The sequence below is a fragment of the Homo sapiens genome, chromosome 4, assembly GCF_000001405.40.
Source record: "Homo sapiens chromosome 4, GRCh38.p14 Primary Assembly".
Lineage (NCBI taxonomy): Eukaryota > Metazoa > Chordata > Mammalia > Primates > Hominidae > Homo > Homo sapiens.
In genome coordinates, this window is record NC_000004.12 from 127632352 (window position 1) to 127650556 (window position 18205).

At 36.8% G+C, this 18205-nt stretch overlaps 1 protein-coding gene across 1 annotated transcript in view, besides 2 other annotated features; it reads left to right on the forward strand.

The window, feature by feature from the left end:
* Positions 254 to 793: an enhancer, noted in NCBI's record as "H3K27ac hESC enhancer chr4:128553760-128554299 (GRCh37/hg19 assembly coordinates)". NCBI's record gives its function as "activates a minimal SCP1, AML or CMV promoter by ChIP-STARR-seq in primed H9 embryonic stem cells {active_cell/tissue: H9 hESC(primed)}" and the evidence as "EXISTENCE:reporter gene assay evidence [ECO:0000049][PMID:30033119]".
* Positions 456 to 635: an enhancer, noted in NCBI's record as "active region_21883". NCBI's record gives its function as "activates an Ori minimal core promoter by ATAC-STARR-seq in GM12878 lymphoblastoid cells {active_cell/tissue: GM12878}" and the evidence as "EXISTENCE:reporter gene assay evidence [ECO:0000049][PMID:35858748]".
* Positions 606 to 18205, forward strand: part of INTU (inturned planar cell polarity protein) — a 93781-nt gene continuing 76181 nt past the window's right edge. Inside the window, exons 1-2 of the mRNA NM_015693.4 lie at positions 606 to 829; positions 11170 to 11705. Of these exons, the coding sequence (NP_056508.2) occupies positions 684 to 829; positions 11170 to 11705 (682 nt within the window). The 5' untranslated portion in view covers positions 606 to 683. The remainder of the gene's footprint in view (positions 830 to 11169; positions 11706 to 18205) is intronic.

Genomic DNA, 18205 nt, shown 5'->3' on the forward strand with positions numbered 1-18205 from the left:
TGAGAACACTTAATTAGATTATAAAATTTTGAGTTAGAAAATGAACATGAAGTTGATTCCACAGGATTGCCACTCATTTGTGGCACTCTACAATACCCACTTGGGATAACCGTGAAAATGTTTGCAATTGCGAAACAATATGAAACCCATAAAACAATGGAGCGTATTTACATTAACACCTAGATCGCGTTGCTTAAAAGCGTCCATTACTTGCACGGATGAGGTCCTAAGGAAAGGTAAAGTGCGGTTTCCTTCACCTCGAAGGAAATCCAGGCTGACCGACAGCTGTTAGGCATTAGAAACACAGGACAAAGAGCAAACTGGATATCCAGCACTGGAAGAAAAAGGTGAGAAGCCCAGTGCATCTCCGCCTGTTTTAACAGGTTATGCTGCTCTAAGGAATTGCGTTCCGGAGAGCGTAAGCGGTGAAGTTTTAGCTATTTCTATCCTTCCAACTGAGAAGCCCTCCTGGAAGTTTCAGCCCATTGGCTGCTTTCTGTTCTCCCTGTTTCTTCTGGGAAGCTTCTCCGTCTCCCTGGCAACGCGACCTGCCACCAATTGCAGCTAAGGATTGGTGGTCACATGGCCTCTGCCCCTTCCCAAGCAGAGGCAACATGGCGGCCTTAGCAAGCTATAGCTGCGAGATTTGAATTACTCCACTCGTAGCTATTGCATTCCTGACGATGGCCTCTGTGGCTTCGTGCGATTCGCGTCCGAGCTCAGACGAGCTCCCTGGAGACCCCTCTTCACAAGAAGAAGATGAGGACTATGATTTTGAAGATCGGGTCAGCGACTCGGGTTCATATTCCTCAGCGAGTAGCGATTATGAGTAAGGTTTTCAAAGAGGGACAATTAATCCCATCCCATCAATCCAGAGAATATACACGTGGGCTGGGGGAACTGCAAGGGTGTTGGCGTGGTTGGAATCGAGTATTTGGGGTTCTATAATAAGTGGGATTTAATTGCACCACGTTCCATTGTATGGTGGTGTGAGCAGAAATGACGATGCCATTCTTTGCTACTGTAGGTTGTTTTTTGTTTGTTTTGTTTTGTTTTTTCAATGATTCTTAGATGAGGAGAATCTCCTCTTTTTGGTCATGGGCTCTGTCTAGGCCATAGGAGGATATATCTGTAACAGCGTTCAAAAAACTCTGTTTCGATCGCAGTGTCTTGATTCTTTGGTGTGACCTTTGTGGCTTAATCTCTTTAGTATTTGGAGTGGAGAGACACCCTACGCGTTTTATAAGGCAGTTGTTAAATTTATGTAGATTTTTTCTGTTATGGAAATGAATAGCTATATAACAGAAGGAACGCCCACCCATAGTCTCACCATCAAGGACAACCTCTCAGCACTTCTGGATATTTCTGCTGTATTTTCCTATGCATCTCCATGATTTTCTTGTTTTCCATTTTACGTCATAATTTAATTTTTAAAAATACAGATACCTAAAGGTTTCACTTTCTTAATAATGCCATGAAAAGGTTATTTTGATTCACAGTATTCAGTGCTACTTCATTTTTAAGAAAAATCTACCCCTTACTGCTATGGATTAAGAACTTTAGAAAAGTCAACTAGCAGTAGCTTGAAGAGAATGACTAATCGTGAAAAAGTTTTGGTGCCAAAATGTCAACTAACCCAGTAATGGACAACCATACCTGGTCAGTTTTAGGATGACATTTTATGTGTATTTAGGAACAACAGTTACAAATCATTTATATGTATGTAGGAGCAACTGTTATTTGGCAATTGTTTTTACCTATCAGTATGTAAAAGATTTTTATCATTGCCTTTAAAAGTATGGTGGGGAAACCTGTTTAATACATTCTTGAAGACTTAAACAAATTTTAAAATATCGTATTTTTTTGTAATCTGCTGTAGGCATTAAAAAAATAATTTTAAAATTCATGATTATTACACAAGGCTGCTGGAAGGAAATATGAATTACATAGAACCTTATTTGGTCTTGGTATGTGAAGCCATAGACAGTGTAAGACTCAAACTCTTGGCTTCTCCACATTTTAGAGTCGCATACTTTTAGCCCAGAAAGAATCTATGATTCATGTATAGTTGCACAGCTGAGTGTTGTCAGTGTGAGAATTCAAGACGCCTGATACCTAATGGGCCACCATGACTTTGATGGGATTAAAATAGTGAACTTTGTTTCCTAGGAAATGACCAATCTGAGGACCTTGTGATAGGAGAACTTGTCACTTAAAAGAATAAAAGTATTTCATGATTCAAAATACATGTATGTATGTTATATTTTAGCTTTTAAAAAATGATCATTAAGCTTTTCACATGTCACTAATCACGCCACATGTTCTAGTGTCTTTATCCTCCTAATAATAAAAGTATAGAAAATCCCTATCATAAGATGTTTTGCTGGTCTGTATTTCAAGTCCTACCAAGTTTCAAATTTTAAGTCTGTCCCTTCTTGATTTGTAGGACATGAGGGTTAATTTGCTGAACTTACCAGGAAGGCTTATGTTCGGTTCTTCCCTTATGGTAGATGTTTACTTCCCTAAGCTGCAGTCATCATTACAAACAGTGGCCTTCCCAACTTGTACAGAACCACTCTTTAATCAAAGGCACAGGAATGCCAACCTTAGTCTTTCTCATTAAAGCAAAGACATGAATTTCCTATTGTATTTCATGGACTACGTGAAGCTTACTAAGGAAGTTGTACTGCATATTGACTCACATAAAGTATCCTGAATTTTCAAGGTTTTAGTTAACTGCGTGTTCTTTTTAGAAGTTACTGTTTCATACATGCTTTGTACCTGAGCTGTATGTGATTGTCAATATAGAATTTAAAAGTTTATCATCTTGGAGATAAAATTACATTATGGTAAATTCTGGTAGAGTTCTTTTAATAGGTTTGTTTTAGGTTTGTTAGAGAATAAGAGTTTATATTGCTGCAGTATGTCTTAAGTTGACACATGGGCACATACCCTGGGAGGCTTCCGAGATAATACTGGTGGGTTGGTTGGGTTGAGGGAGCCATTAGCTAGTTTTAGCATTAAGATAACAGAAATCACACATTCACCTGCAACAATGCCAAGTTACCAGCTAATATGCCTAGTTCATGTTACAGAGAGTTTGTCAATGTTGTGACTTGGATTTTTAATTTTTCAAAGTGAATTTTTTGTTGTTGTTACATCAGTTTTAAAACTGGCTGATGGAGAGAAACAGGAATCATTTTAAATGAGATATTAGCTGTTAAAGCTAAGGAACTTCCACCTAAAACACAAGGATTGGCTGGAGAAGGGAGGTATGTCCTTTAAATTTTTTTCTGGGACTTTAAAAATAGCTTCATTGAAGGATAATTTATATACAAAAAACTGCACATATTTTTAATGTACAATTTGATGTTTTAACATGTATACGTCTGTCAAGAAAATGAACATATCCATCTCGCCTAAGAGTCTCCCCATGTACCTACTTAAGTCCATTTATGCCTCTCCTGATAACCATTTATCTGCTTTTTGTCACTCTATAGGAGTTTGTAGTTTCTAAAGTTTCATAAAGATGGAATTGTGCAGTATGAATGTTCTTTTTTGTCTGCCTTCTTTTATTCAGCATAATTACTTTGAGATTCATCCATGTTGTTGCCCCCATTAATAGTTCATCTCTCGGCTAGGTATGGTGGCTCATACCTGTAATCCTGCTTTTGGGAGCCAACGCAGGAGCATTGCTTGACACCAGGAGTCAGAAACCAGCCTCGGAAACATAGTGAGACCCCCATCTCTAAAATAAAAAATAAAAAAATTAGCCAGGCATGATGGTATGTGCCTATAGTCCTGCAACTTGGGAGGCTGAGGCGGGAGGATCACTTAAGCTCAGGGTTTCAAGGTTGCAGTGAGCTGTGATCACACCATTGCACCCCAGTCTGGGTGACAGCAAAATTTTGTCTGAAGAAAAAAAAAGTTCTTTTTTTTGGTACAGTGAAGCCCTATCACCATTGTACACTAAAGACCTATTCTGAGCTGGGCTCACACCTGTAATCCCAGCACTTTGGAAGGCCGAGGCGGGCAGATCACCTGAGGTCACGAGTTCGAGACCAGCCTGGCCAATATGGTGAAACCCCATCTCTACTAAAGATACAAAAAATTAGCCGGGCATGGTGGTGTCCACCTGTAATTCCAGCTACTCGGGAGGCTGAGCCAAGAGAATCACTTGAACACAGAAGGCGGAGGTTGCAGTGAGCCGAGATCGCACCATTGCATTGCAGCCTGGGTGACAAAGTGAGACACACCATCTCAAAAAAAAAAAAAAAAAAATCTGTACAGCAAAGCCCTAACACAAAATATTTTGCTGGTCTGTGATTTTTGTTCTGCCAGAGTTACATCATATCCCCAACTCAATGATGTGTAGAAATGCTGACTTTCCTCTCTTTCTTGAATTTTTAACATGGGAACATACTAGTTGTGAAGAATCAAAATATTTCATTTAGACTCATGATGCCATACTGTTAACATCCAATTTAGGATAATATTTCCTACTTTTTCTTCTGCTCTGAACCCTGACTCCTTTTTACTTTTAATTTAATACAGATTAAAAAGGCACATGGTATATAACTAGGTTTATGATGAAAAATGGTATTACCCTGCTGTCATCTCTACTTCCAGCTCAGTGTGTGAAGATAATTCATTGTCTTCCATTTCTCCTCTAAGGCTACCCATCTCATTTACTGACATCATTATCTCCTTACTCTTGTCTTCAGATCTGATGTCTCCAGTACTATTGACTTCCTTCTCTGGTTTTCTCTTCTCCATTCTCACAGGCACTGCCTTACTTAAAAGGTTGCCTCTTGCCTCTTGCCTGTTTCCCATGCACCAGTGGAGTTGCCTCCTAACTAATCTGCATGCTTCTGATTTCTCCTGTCTGTGGTCTTTCTTCCATACCACTGCCAGTTTGCTTTCTAAAACACAGTTCTAAATCATTTTTCTACTCTACTCAAAAGTTTGGTGGCCTTCCAAATAAATTCTAGGTTCCTTAGGATGATTTTTAAATTTTAGATCTGTCCCAAGTCTTTCTTGTCTCATTTCTATTGATCTCCCTGTTCATTATTGAAAATGATTATCCACTTATTCTCAAATTGACCACTTGCTTTCACACCTACACCTTTATGTACTTTGTTGTCTCTGTTTGAAATACCCTTTCTTCCTATCTCTACTTGTCAAAATCATTCAAGGTCCCACTTAAGTTCTACCTTCTCCTAGAATCTTTTCTGGTCTCTCTTAGACTATCTCTCCATCCTGTACTCTAGTCCTATAGCAGTCTTTATTCCTGAGTGTTGGCACTTGCATTTCAGCCATTTGATTCTCTGTCCCATCTGACATCTTTAAAAGTACAGTAAAGTCCTATCAGAAAATGTTTTGTTGATGTATGACTTTTGTCCTGCCAGGGTTAGATTGTATCACTAATTTAGTGATGCATAGGAATGCCCTGTTTAGCTGAGGGGGCAGGTGGTAGGAAATGTGACCCGGGGAATGAAGTCACTATTAGATGTGTTCCTGATGTAGAAATGTATTACCTGCAGTGAATGAACAGTTATGCATTTATTGACTGATCCCTTTGCCTTCTTTGACATGCTTAACAGTTATTCTAATGTTGCTTAGCAAGAAGAGCTTCAGCTCATCTGAGACTCCCTACCCCTAAGCTGCTATATCATCCAGCATACATGTTAATGATTGAAATTCATGGTGTTCCTTTAGTAAATGATCAGAAGACCATCAAGAGTGAAAATCAGATATTGTTGGTAGACAGAACACAGAAAAGAAAACACAGAAAAGCATAGGCAGGCAAGTGCTTACTGAATAAGTGCCGGATAGAATCCATATTAATTTGTCACAGTGTTTTTATTGTGTGTGGTTTTTCTCTGTTCCTAGAATTGTCCTGTTATACCTATTAGCACCACATAACTATATGTGTTGACCACTTCGGTAAAGTGCATTGTGCTTTGCCCACTAAGAAAAAAAGAAAAAAGTATACTATAACAGATTTGGAATAGTAGCAAGTGTTTATTTTCCTTAACTAAGGAAATGTGCCAGTGGGGCTGGCTGTTTTATAACTCCTTTCTTGTGGTAGTTAAGGAAATTGCTGTACTATTGCAAATGATGAAAAATGCTGGCATTAATGCAAATAAAGACCTGAGAGATTCAAATAACTATTAGAGGGGTATTAAAAGATGTAGTGTTGACCTAGATATTTTTGAATACGTCAGGAATGAGACAATTATTAGCATTATCTGAAGTTCATTTTCTTTAATATATTTATGTTACAGCTTATGCAAGTGAACTTGCTTATTTGCAAATTAACAAGTCTTTCTTTGGGAAGAAGGGCTCTACTCCTGTTTACCACATCATTTAGGGCCTTGAATACCAATTAAAATGCCCTAAAACGTTGCTGGCAGGCTATAAACATACACTTATTCTGCTTAAAGCAAAGCAGAATAAACAAAATAAGACTCATTGAAAGAAAATTGAAAAACATTTACACAATAATTATGCAGCTTGTACTATAAGGTCTTAGAAAATTTTGAAGGCGTATTTATATTAGTGCTGAAATATGACCCATGTACTACAAAGATCTGAATTAAAACTGCTAGATTTAATTCCTTCCATTAATTTTCTTTTTATTTTTGAGTAAGTTTAGATTTACACAAGAGTTCCAAAGATAGTACAGACTTCCCATAAATCCTTCACCCACTTTCCCCTGATGTTAACATCTTACACAACTATTATGCATTTGTCAAAACAAGACATGAATATTGGTCATTTCTGTTAACTAAACTCCAAACTTTATTTGGCTTTCACCACTCTTCCATTAATGTTCTTTTTCTATTCCAGGATTCAATCCAGAATATTGTATTGTCTGCTTAGTCTCCTCTGGTCTGTAACAATATCTTAGTCCTTTCCTGTTTTTCATTACCTTGATCACTTGGTTATGTAAGGTAGTGTCTGCCAGGTCTCTTCCCTGGAAAGTTACTATCTTTCTCTTTCCATACTCTGTTCTCTGGAAGAGTATAGTCACTAAGTCTATACTCAAGGGGAGGAGGGATTAAACTTCATCTCCTGGAGTGGGGATTATCTATATGTATTGATTTCTTTAATTTAGGGAAGTTGTAGTGAAAGGTTAGGTTTTTGTGGGTTTTTTGTTGTTGTTGTTGTTAACACATCCCCTTTCTTCTAATAGGGCTAGAAGAACTAGTTTGGGACAACAGTCATTAGAATTCTATTAAAATTTCTTAATACACTAATCATTTATCCTCTTTTTAAAAAATTGACACATAATAATTACACATATTTGTGGAGTATAATGTGATGTTTCAATAGACATATACATTGTATAGTGATTAAATCAGGGCATTTGGCCTATTTATCACCTCATATGTTTATCATTTCTTTGTGATGAGAACATTCAAAAATCCTCTGTTCTAGTAATTTTGAAATATACACTATAATATTGTTAACTATAGTCTCCCTACTGTGTAATAGAACACCAGAATTTATTTCTCCTATCTAACTGTAACTTTGTACCCGTCGACCAATCTCTTGATGCTTACTTAACTCGGAACTATTCCTCTGGAGTAGAAATAAAGAACCTTCCAGGAATATTGACCTGTAGGGTCCTTAAAGGCAGTGCCTCGCTTTGCTTCTTGTGTCACTATCACCTACCCTGAAACCTGGCAAACTGAGATCATTAGAGACACCTTCATTTAATGCCAGTTAGAAAAATACAGAAACACAAGAGTTATATCTAGTAAAAGCAAGAGGAAGGGAACTGATATTTATTTGGAACTTAACCATGTCAGGAACAACATTATTGTATTTTCTATTGACAAGAGTCCTGTGAGGTAGCTATAATCTATTTTCAAGAAGAGGAAAACTAAAGCAATCAGTCAATCTTAGAAAGGTTAAAATCATAATAGAACAAAATTTGAACTCAGCTCTTCATGATTTCTCAGTTCATTTGCTTTTCAGTATAAGTTGCCCTTCTGTGTGGGGGTCTCTTATTTACACTTCCCTGTCTCTACCTCTTTATCTTCCTTTTAGTTTCTTCCTCTTTTTAAAAAGTGTCTTTCTCTTCTTAAAATGATGTATATTTAGAAATCTAGACATTAAGAGAGTGGATCCCACACATCGCTAGTGAAAATATAAATTGGTATAGTCTTTTGGGTAAAGATACATATATATATATATATATATATATATATATATATATATATATATATATACATATACATAAACACACATGTGTATATTGATGGTTCCTATAACTTTGTGGTGGAAAAACAAGAACTGAACACAAAGCTTATCAGTAGGTGAATGACCAAATGTCCTACATCCTTGATATTGAATATTATGCAGCCACTAGTGATTTCTAAGCTGTATTGTTAAGTGAGAAATTATATATGTACTTTATATAGGTACATATATAATGATTCCACTTTTTCAAAACAGTGACAGAATAACCCTATATGTGTTTTTATATGATTATAAAGCATGGATTTTTTAACAGTGTTCATGTGAGAGAGAGGTAGTAAGAGAAGTATTAAGATTGTGTTCCCATGTATTACAATGAGTCTGCACATGGGTACTCACAAAAGGATGCATGAAAGTATAGTCACCAGCTAGAAATCTAGTCAACATGAATCCCTCTCTCTCTCTCTCTCCCCACCTAATCAGTCTCAAAGTTCTGGTGATTTTCAAGAGTTTCTCACATATTTTTCCTACTTTCCATGTCTTCTACTATTGCTTTATTTGTCATTTTTGCTTCAGCTACTGAAACAGCCCCCTGACTAGCCCTCCTGCCTTGAGTCTTGTCCACCTCAAATCCACCAACGATTTACTTGCCAAAGTAGACCTATCCAGGGATATCTAACACGTAAACTCTCTACTTAAAACTCTTTGTTGATGCCTTCTTACCTGCACTACAAAAGCCAAACCCCTTAGGGTGATCTAAAAAGCCTGGCAAAACTAGGGCTTGACCACTTCTGTCATTCCCCACCTTCCGCATTTACTCTGACAACTGCAGACTGCCAGTGGTTGTCCGTCTAGGCCATGGGGACTATCCTCAGGTCTTTGCTTATGCTGTTACTCCTGTTTGAAATCCTCTTCACATCTTTCCCTTCAGCTCCCCACCTCTCTCCCTCCTTCATTTATCCTTTCAAACTGGTTTCTGGGGTCTCCCTGATCTCCCCTCAACCTCCAGCTAGGCTAAGCTGGGTGACTCTCCCGTATGGCTAAGCTGGGTGACTTTCCTGTATGGCTAAGCTGGGTGACTCTCCTGTATGCCTCTATCTTGTACTTACCCTGTGTACTGTCATGAATTCTTTCTCACTTTCTCTTCTTTACTAAGCAAGGGCGGGAACTGACATTCTCGTCATTATAATTCTGGTACTTACCATAGTTCCTGGCACTGTTTAGTTGCTCCACAATTGAATGCCAAGATGCTATCCCCTTGGCCACCACGTGCATGGATCTTTGAATCATAACCAAAAGTGATTTCACATTCAAACTTTAGAGATTGAAATGAATCATCTTCATATTTAGTAAGTGGAAAAGATGTTTCTTTTATATATCTCTAATACAAATAACTTACCAGGTTAAAAGGGTGAGATAATAAGGCTGATACACTTTATTCATTGTTTAAATTGATATATATATATATTTTTTAAATTGATACATATGTTTTTAAGTAATTAATGTGCAATCATGGTATTTACACTGTAGCAATTAAAATTAAGGTAGCTTTGTTACTAAATGATTATGGTGGGGATATAGTTATTTAGACTCTCAAGAGTAGAACTGCATAGTTATTTAAATATTGATTCTGTGGGTACAGATAGGTATTGTTGAAATAAGTGATATTTGGTTGATAATCTGCAATAAGTGAGGCTTAGTGCCTATGATGATGCCACACACTGGGAACCAACAAGTCCCAAAGAAATGTTAGTTTTGATATTTTCAGCTTGTTAGGCATTTTTAAAAATGACTCATATGTAGCTGAAAATTCTGTATTAATGACCAGCCACAGACCAGGGCAGTGGTTAGTTTGAGTTGAGTAATAGAATAGTATATTTTGGGGGCTAATTTTCAAAGTGTTTAGAAAGAGACATTTGACTTTTAAGTTAAGAGAACTGGAGTTGCTAATAAACACTGCAGAAAACAGAAATGTCTTCTATCTGATTTAATGATTACAACACAAATTATACTCTTTCAGGCCGGGATATTACAGCTCATGTTTCTGAAAAGACTCTCTACATGTTAATTTTTCCACTATTACTAGTTTCACTTTAAAGAATAGCAGTTTGAAAGGTAAACTGTTCATAACATTGAACAGGGTAGAGTTTAGGTTTGTTACCATGAGTATTTTTGCTCCTTAATGCTATTTCAATCATTTTAATAGCAGTAATTTTGTTTTTTTTTTCAGTGGCATACTTCCCAGTTAAAAATATTTTTTATAATCACGATGAATTATGTAATATGTGCTTTTTTTTTTCTACTACAATTTTTCATAAAAAGGAGTTTTATGGAAATTATAGACAGTAAAGTGATCATTACTATATTAACTGTGATTATAAATGGGTTGTTTTCAGGACAGATTTTAGTTCATGGTGAAGTGAATGTTTCTTTTTTGAAAACTTATGTAAAAGTCTGTTAAAGCTGGCTTTAGCTTTCATTTTAACCTGACAGCCATCCTAAATAATTTCTATGCAAATAATAGATTTTCATGTACAATTTCCAAATGGCATGCTTGTGTGGATATAATTGCATAATCAACTGCTAATGCAAATTATCATTCAGTGAAATTGTTTAAAGTGAGCAGTAACCACACAGTGGTTGATTTAATTTTTTTCAACTCATAGATTCTATAAGGGGACCATCTCTTTTTTCATTGGTTTTCCTTTCTATTGCTATGCCTTTTTGATTCCTTCTCCCCCAACTCCTATTCAAAGCTCTACAAAAAAAGCATCCTATATGAAATAATGTTGAGGATCACAATAAATTAGAAATAGTAAGGATAATTTGAAATAATAAAGAAGTTTCACCCTTTCCCATCTTCCTGCTCCCCAGCCCCAACCCTCACCCCCATGCCAGGATGACATACCTTTCTTTTATATATTGGGCTGCTATTAAGATTATCTTTTCTCTCTTTCATAGTGATCTTGAGCCTGAATGGCTGGACAGTGTGCAGAAAAATGGAGAGCTGTTTTATTTGGAATTGAGTGAGGATGAAGAAGAAAGCCTCCTTCCTGAGACACCAACTGTGAACCATGTCAGGTTCAGTGAAAATGAGATTATCATTGAAGATGACTACAAAGAAAGAAAAAAGTATGAACCCAAACTCAAGCAGTTTACCAAAATTTTAAGAAGGAAAAGACTTTTACCCAAGCGCTGCAATAAAAAAAATAGCAATGACAATGGACCAGTATCCATTCTAAAGCATCAGTCCAATCAGAAGACAGGAGTCATTGTCCAACAGCGATACAAAGATGTGAATGTTTATGTAAACCCCAAAAAGCTAACTGTTATCAAAGCCAAAGAGCAGCTCAAGCTTCTGGAAGTGCTGGTTGGAATTATTCATCAGACCAAGTGGAGCTGGAGAAGAACCGGAAAGCAGGGTGATGGAGAGAGGCTTGTGGTTCATGGCCTGCTGCCAGGGGGATCTGCTATGAAGAGCGGTCAGGTACTCATTGGTAAGTGTTGCTGGTACACATCCATCCCTGTTTACAGAGATCTTGATTAATGATGACACCTTGCGGGAAATGTGATAAAAACAATTATATACAGTCTCCACAGATAAAGAACTGATTAATGACATTTGGTACAGTAGAGAAATGGTTACACATGGTGCACTACAAGGCACAGTGTTCTTAAAATGACCAGTTCAGTGTGTTGAGTATGTGTGTGCCTTGTTCAGGCCAAGAAATAGCTTACCTAATTTTCAAGTTTTGAATTATATAATTTTATTTCATCTTGGTTATATTTGCTGACAAGAAAAAAAACGTTGATCATAGAGTGATAATTTAGGTTTGAATGGCTATATCCAGTAACAGGATACAAAAATATATAATTTATGAATAAAAATACTTTTAAATTGTATGTTTGCACTTGAGTACACTAAGTTCTTGGAGTGGTTTTCAACTGTTTCATTTGGCATATTTTGCAACAGTGGTGTTATATATAAATTTCCTTTTAAGGGCGTGTGTCATAAAATATATCTGTCATAAAATAGCCCACCAATTTTCAAGAAAAATAAACCCACAAATTATTCTGAATATATATTAAGATGAACATTTTGTGTTGCTGATAAATTTTAAGCTGTTAGATACAATGTTTGAGTTAGTAGCAATCTAATTACTTAAAGATAAATGAGTAAAATTTGAGGATATATTATTACTAAAATTTAAAAGTAATAACAGTTCTAAAAGCTGACAGTCTTTTAAGTTTATCTAGCATAAGAGGTTTAAATGAAGAACATTTACAGATAAATTTACAAATATTTCCAACTTTAAATCTGAATTTCATTTGTTTGTTCACTGATTTGACAGTTTGTTTTTTTAGCATCTGCTAAGTGCCAGGAATACAAAGATTACTTTACTGATCCAATTATTTCTTGAAAGGAGCTATGTTTTAGTGGAAGAGACGGGTTACAGATAGGCAGGCAGCTCCTCACTGTCTGATAAGTGTCATCATAGGGGTTTACAAGGAGGATCATATGGAATCTTGTAAGAAGGGCATCTGTGGCAAAGTATGTGTTCCAGAATGATCTCAACAGGATCTGCACACTTTCTTAAAATGTAGTGTTGATACTCCTCCCATGGAGAGTTGTGCTCTGTGTCATTGAATCTGGGTGGGCCGGTGACTACAGCTTAATTGGTGCCATGTGACTTAAGAGGTTGGATCATAAAAGGTGATGCAGCTTCTGCCTGGTTATTTTGGGGATACTTGCCCTTAGAACCCAGTCACCATTGTGTGAAGAGGTCAAGACACCAGTGATCCAGCTGATAGCCCCAACTGAAGCCCTCGCCACCAGATGTGAGTGAGAAGCCTTTAAGATGACTCCAGCCCCAACCACCATCTGCCTGTAACTGCATGAGGAATCCCAAGTGAGAACCACAGCTGACCCCAGTTAACCCCAGAACCAGGAGAGATGATAAATTATTGTTGTTGTTATTTTTTTATTTTTTATTTTATTTATTTATTTATTTATTTTTGAGATGGAGTTTTGCTGTTGTCACTCAGGCTAGAGTGCAATGGCACCATCTTGGCTCACTTCAACCTCTACCTCCCGGGTTCAAGCGATTCTTCTGCCTCAGCCTCCTGAGTAGTTGGGATTACTGGCACCCACCACCATGCCTGACTAATTTTTTTGTATTTTTTAGTAGAGATGGAGTTTCACCATGTTGGTCAGGCTGGTCTTGAACTCCTGACCTCAGGTGATCCACCCGCCTCAGCCTCACAAAGTGCTGGGATTACAGGCGTGAGCCACCGTGCCTGGCCAACTGTTGTTGTTTTAAGCCTCAGAATTATTTGGATAGGCCTGGCGTGGTGGCTAACACTTGTAATCCCAGCACTTTGGGAGGCCAAGGTGGGCAGATCACTTGAGGCCAGGAGTTTGAGACCAGCCTGGCCAACATGGCAAGACCCCGTGTCTACTAAAAAATACAAAACTTAGCTGGGCCTTGTGGTGCATGCCTGTAATCTCAGCTGCTGGGGAGGCTGGGGCACGAGAATCACTTGAACCTGGGAGGCAGAGGTTGCAATGAGCCAAGATTGTACCACCGCACTCCAGCCTGGGGGAACACAGTGAGACTCTGTCTCAAAAAAAAAAAAAAAAATTGTTTGGATGACTTATTATGCAACAATAGATGACTGGAACAGGGGCTAATACATACTTACATTCTCTTGGGTCCTCTACTTTCCTTCTTGTGAAATGATAGGATAGAACTAAATATCTCTATGGTTTGTTCTTTTAGTTCTGTAAAAGGAGCCAGAATTCATTTAACGTGCCCCCCTTTCAGTGGTGTTTCCTGTGAGTTGGTAGTTAGATCTTGAGGCCTATCAAACATATTTTATAGGTGGTCTGTGTGCTTCCATCAGGAACAACATATTATCTGCTGTTTTTCTTTTTGTGATATTAACAGTTATTGATGATCATTGCCTAAATCCATTAATTCATTAAGGGACTGCAAAATGGTGATATTCCAATTCTGTCAGTCTTTCTCAATATTTCAGTTAGACTACTTTCATAAAAAGAAGCTCCCCCTCACCTCTGGTAACCTTGACATATGGTTTAGACAGGAAAGGCAGGATAAATGTCTGATTTTTCTTCATTTAACAGTTTTCACAAAAGCAAGTTGGTACCATTATTCAAGGACTTCAGAATGGTAGGTTGGGAGGGGCCTTAATTCTCTCTAGTTTGGTGCCCACATATTATAGACGAGGGGTTGAGATTGAAACTCAAAAAAAAATAACAAAATTTATTGTTAGTAAATGCATTGGCAGAAAACATTGAGTTTTGAATGTATAAAATGGCAGTATAGTAACTGCTTTTCAAAAACCAGATTCCCTTTCCCTGAAGTCAAATTTGGCTTAATTAAAAGGATCAATTTCAATTCACAATTTGATCTCATTTTTCTGTCCCATACATATGTGCCACTCCTTCTATCCATAAATCCCCACCTCTAACAAGCAAGCCTGATTTATTTTTTTCCTAACTGACCTCCAGATACACCTTGTGTGTCCATCTTTGCTTTTTAGCATTCGTGATTCCTTTTTTGGTGCATCACAAAGATTGCTTTGTATTACTAGGCTAGTGCATTCATCTTCTATTGCTGCCGTGACAAATTACCACAAACTTAGTGGTTTAAAACAATACAGATTTATCATCTTGCAATAATGTAAGCCAGAAATCTAAAATGGGTCTTCTTGTATGAAAATCAAGGTGTCCACAGGGCTACATTCCTTTTGGAGGCTCCAGGGAAGAATCCCATTCCTTGGCCAGCTTTCAGAGGCTACCTGCATTCTTTGGCTTGTGGTCCTGTCCTCCATCATCAAAGCCAGCAGCATAGCATCTTCCAGTCTCTCTCATGCTGACCCTGACACTTTTGCCTTCCTCCTATAAAGACCTTTATCTTTACCTGACGATCATTCGGATAATCCAGGACAGTCTTCCAATCTTTTAAGTTAATTACAACTGCAAAGTCCTTCTTGCTGTGTAAGGTAGCATATTCAGAGATTTCAGGGATTGAAACATAGACATCTTTGGGGGGCAATTATGCTGCCTACCTCAGTGGGGGGTTTTTTGGTAAAATATGAGTTTTTTTTCTTTTTGTGATAGTAATAATATACGTTCATTGTAGACAATTTAGAAAATACAATTAAGCAAAAAAGAAAAATTCCATATACCCAAAGACAACATTTTGTTATATATCCTCCCTTTTCCTACATTTATATACAATAATCTTTTGTCAAAAATAATTTAAGTTGTATATTCATTTTATATATAGTATAAACACAGCAGTAAACAAACTTTTGCATATATATTTTCATAGCCCTTGGTGCCTTATGTAGTAGCCCTTTAGTACACATGTTGTTTGATGTTAAGTATATACTGAGAAATTGATGGCTTTTCTCACATAATTTAACTTTACATTGAGGAACTGTGATAAACTGATCTCTTTTTAAAATATTTTATTTGGTTCTTAAATATATCTCTTAATAAAAATTTTCTCATATTTCTACCCAGGCCATTTCTTATTTAACAATGCAAATCAATCATATAATTCATTCCCTTTTAGCCTTTGAAATGGGACAGATCATATTAATGACTCCCGTGTACTTATGGAGAAAGACCTTTCCTTGGGTTTAGGATGTCCACTGCAAAGGTGCGATGTCCGGGAAGCCAGCCATCTCTGAGTCACTTCACAGAAGTGTTCAGAAACACTAGAGGAAAACAAATGTCTGGGAGAATGAGAAGTGGATATAATATTTATTTCATAGAATGGGAAAATTTTCTACTAAACATTTAAAAATATTGGGTATACTACACTTGCTTTCAGAATTTATTTTCATATATTTTTATGATGAACCATCTCCTCTTTTTAGAGGTTTGTTAGACTTGATAATTTTAGATAATACTCCCTATAACACTCAGCTACAGGAATGTATTCATTAGGATTTGGAGAAAAAAGTCATTTGGCACATCATCCAATGGAGTTTTAGTTTAAAGTAACAAATTTAAAATGTTTTTACTATTTCTGTGCCCTGAGGATAACAAACTATAGACAACAGAACTAATCATTAGGATAGTCCAAAAGTGGTTTCATTTTACATTGACACAGCTATACTGTGTCCATCATTCCTTTATTTTCTTTTAATCACTACAGCTATAAGTAATTTGATATAGTACTTTTGTTTAATCTCTTATATAGGAGAAATTAAACAGGCATCTTGTTGTGTTTTTTTTTTTCCAAGTGGACTTCAAGTTGAAAGTTTATTTTGGTCTGCAAGTTCTTACTTTTAAGAAAAGTTTGTCCAAAGTGCTGTAATAGTTAACCATCATAATGACTTGGTGCCCATGCTTGCAAAACTCCCATCTGAGTTGTATCTCTTGAGCATCTAAACCTAGTTCAAGCCTTCACAGTTGGCCTAAGAAAGTACTCCTGCTTACTCTGCACTTAACCCCATTCTCATTCAATAGAGTATCAAGGAGAGGAAGGAAAAAAAGGAGGAATAGCAGTACCTACAGTGGCAACATTTTCATCTGTTTGCCAACCCTACAGATGGCCAAGTGATGCCTAATAATGGGTTGCCTTAAAGGAAAGGAACTCTGAACTTAGGGAACACCAATCTTTTATAAAGAACAGTTATTAATAATAAGATATTGAGCACAGCATTGACCTTATTATACCATTCAGTAAACAAGCTTGACCTTTGCTCAGGATGGAAACATATCTCTGTTGTCCAAGGCTGTTCATTACACGAACGTCTTTGAAAAGACAGTCTAGAACAAAGACTCTCAATGCCTCGGCTTGTAAGATGTACAGAAACATGAGACTCATGAAGAATTATCTACCAACACGATTCTACATATACAGGTTGAGTACTCCTTCTTCAAAATACCTGGGACCAGAAGTGCTTCCAATTTTTTTTTTTTTAATATTGCATTATACTTACCTGTTGAGCATCCCAAATCTGACAATCCTAAATCCAAAATGCTCCAATGAGCATTTCCTTTGAGGGTCACGTTGGTGCTCAAAAAGTTTTGGATTTTGGAGGATTTTGGATTTTCAATTTTTGGATTTGGGATACTTAGCCTGTATACATGTTTATTATCCATCTTCCCCAAAGAATATTAAGCTCCCTGAGAGTAGAGATTTTGTCTTTGTTCAATTCTTTGTCTCTAGTGCTTAGAAGAGTGCCTGGCACACATTAAGTGCTCAGTAAATATTTCTTAAATGAATGGATGAATATGAATTATTTCATCAATTTCCTAATAATATATTTAGGAATGATGAGAAAAATAACTTTGGTATGTCTATATTTCTATTAATATAGCTCACTGGTATTTTGATAGTATCTTTAATTATGTTCTGAAAGTGAATTTCCATTTTAACACTGATATTTATTTTATTATCAGATTTGGAAAACATACACATTTCTTTTAAAGTACACGGAAAAGGAAATTTTTACCAAACATGCAGTGTATTTTGATATGGTTGGGGCCTTTGAAGCAAAGAACTGTTTGTAGACATAGATCAATAACAGAAGTGAATACTATAGCATATTGTGTTATGATATGCCACATGGATTTAATTAGAATTTCAGGTGGGTTTTTGTTTTGTTTTGTTTTAATTTTTTAATTTTTTTTATTATACTTTAAGTTTTAGGGTACATGTGCACATTGTGCAGGTTAGTTACATATGTATACATGTGCCATGCTGGTGCGCTGCACCCACTAACTCATCATCTAGCATTAGGTATATCTCCCAATGCTATCCCTCCCCCCTCCCCCCACCCCACCACAGTCCCCAGAGTGTGATGTTCCCCTTCCTGTGTCCATGTGATCTCATTCTTCAATTCCCATCTATGAGTGAGAATATGCAGTGTTTGGTTTTTTGTTCTTGCGATAGTTTACTGAGAATGATTTCCAATTTCACCCATGTCCCTACAAAGCACATGAACTCATCAT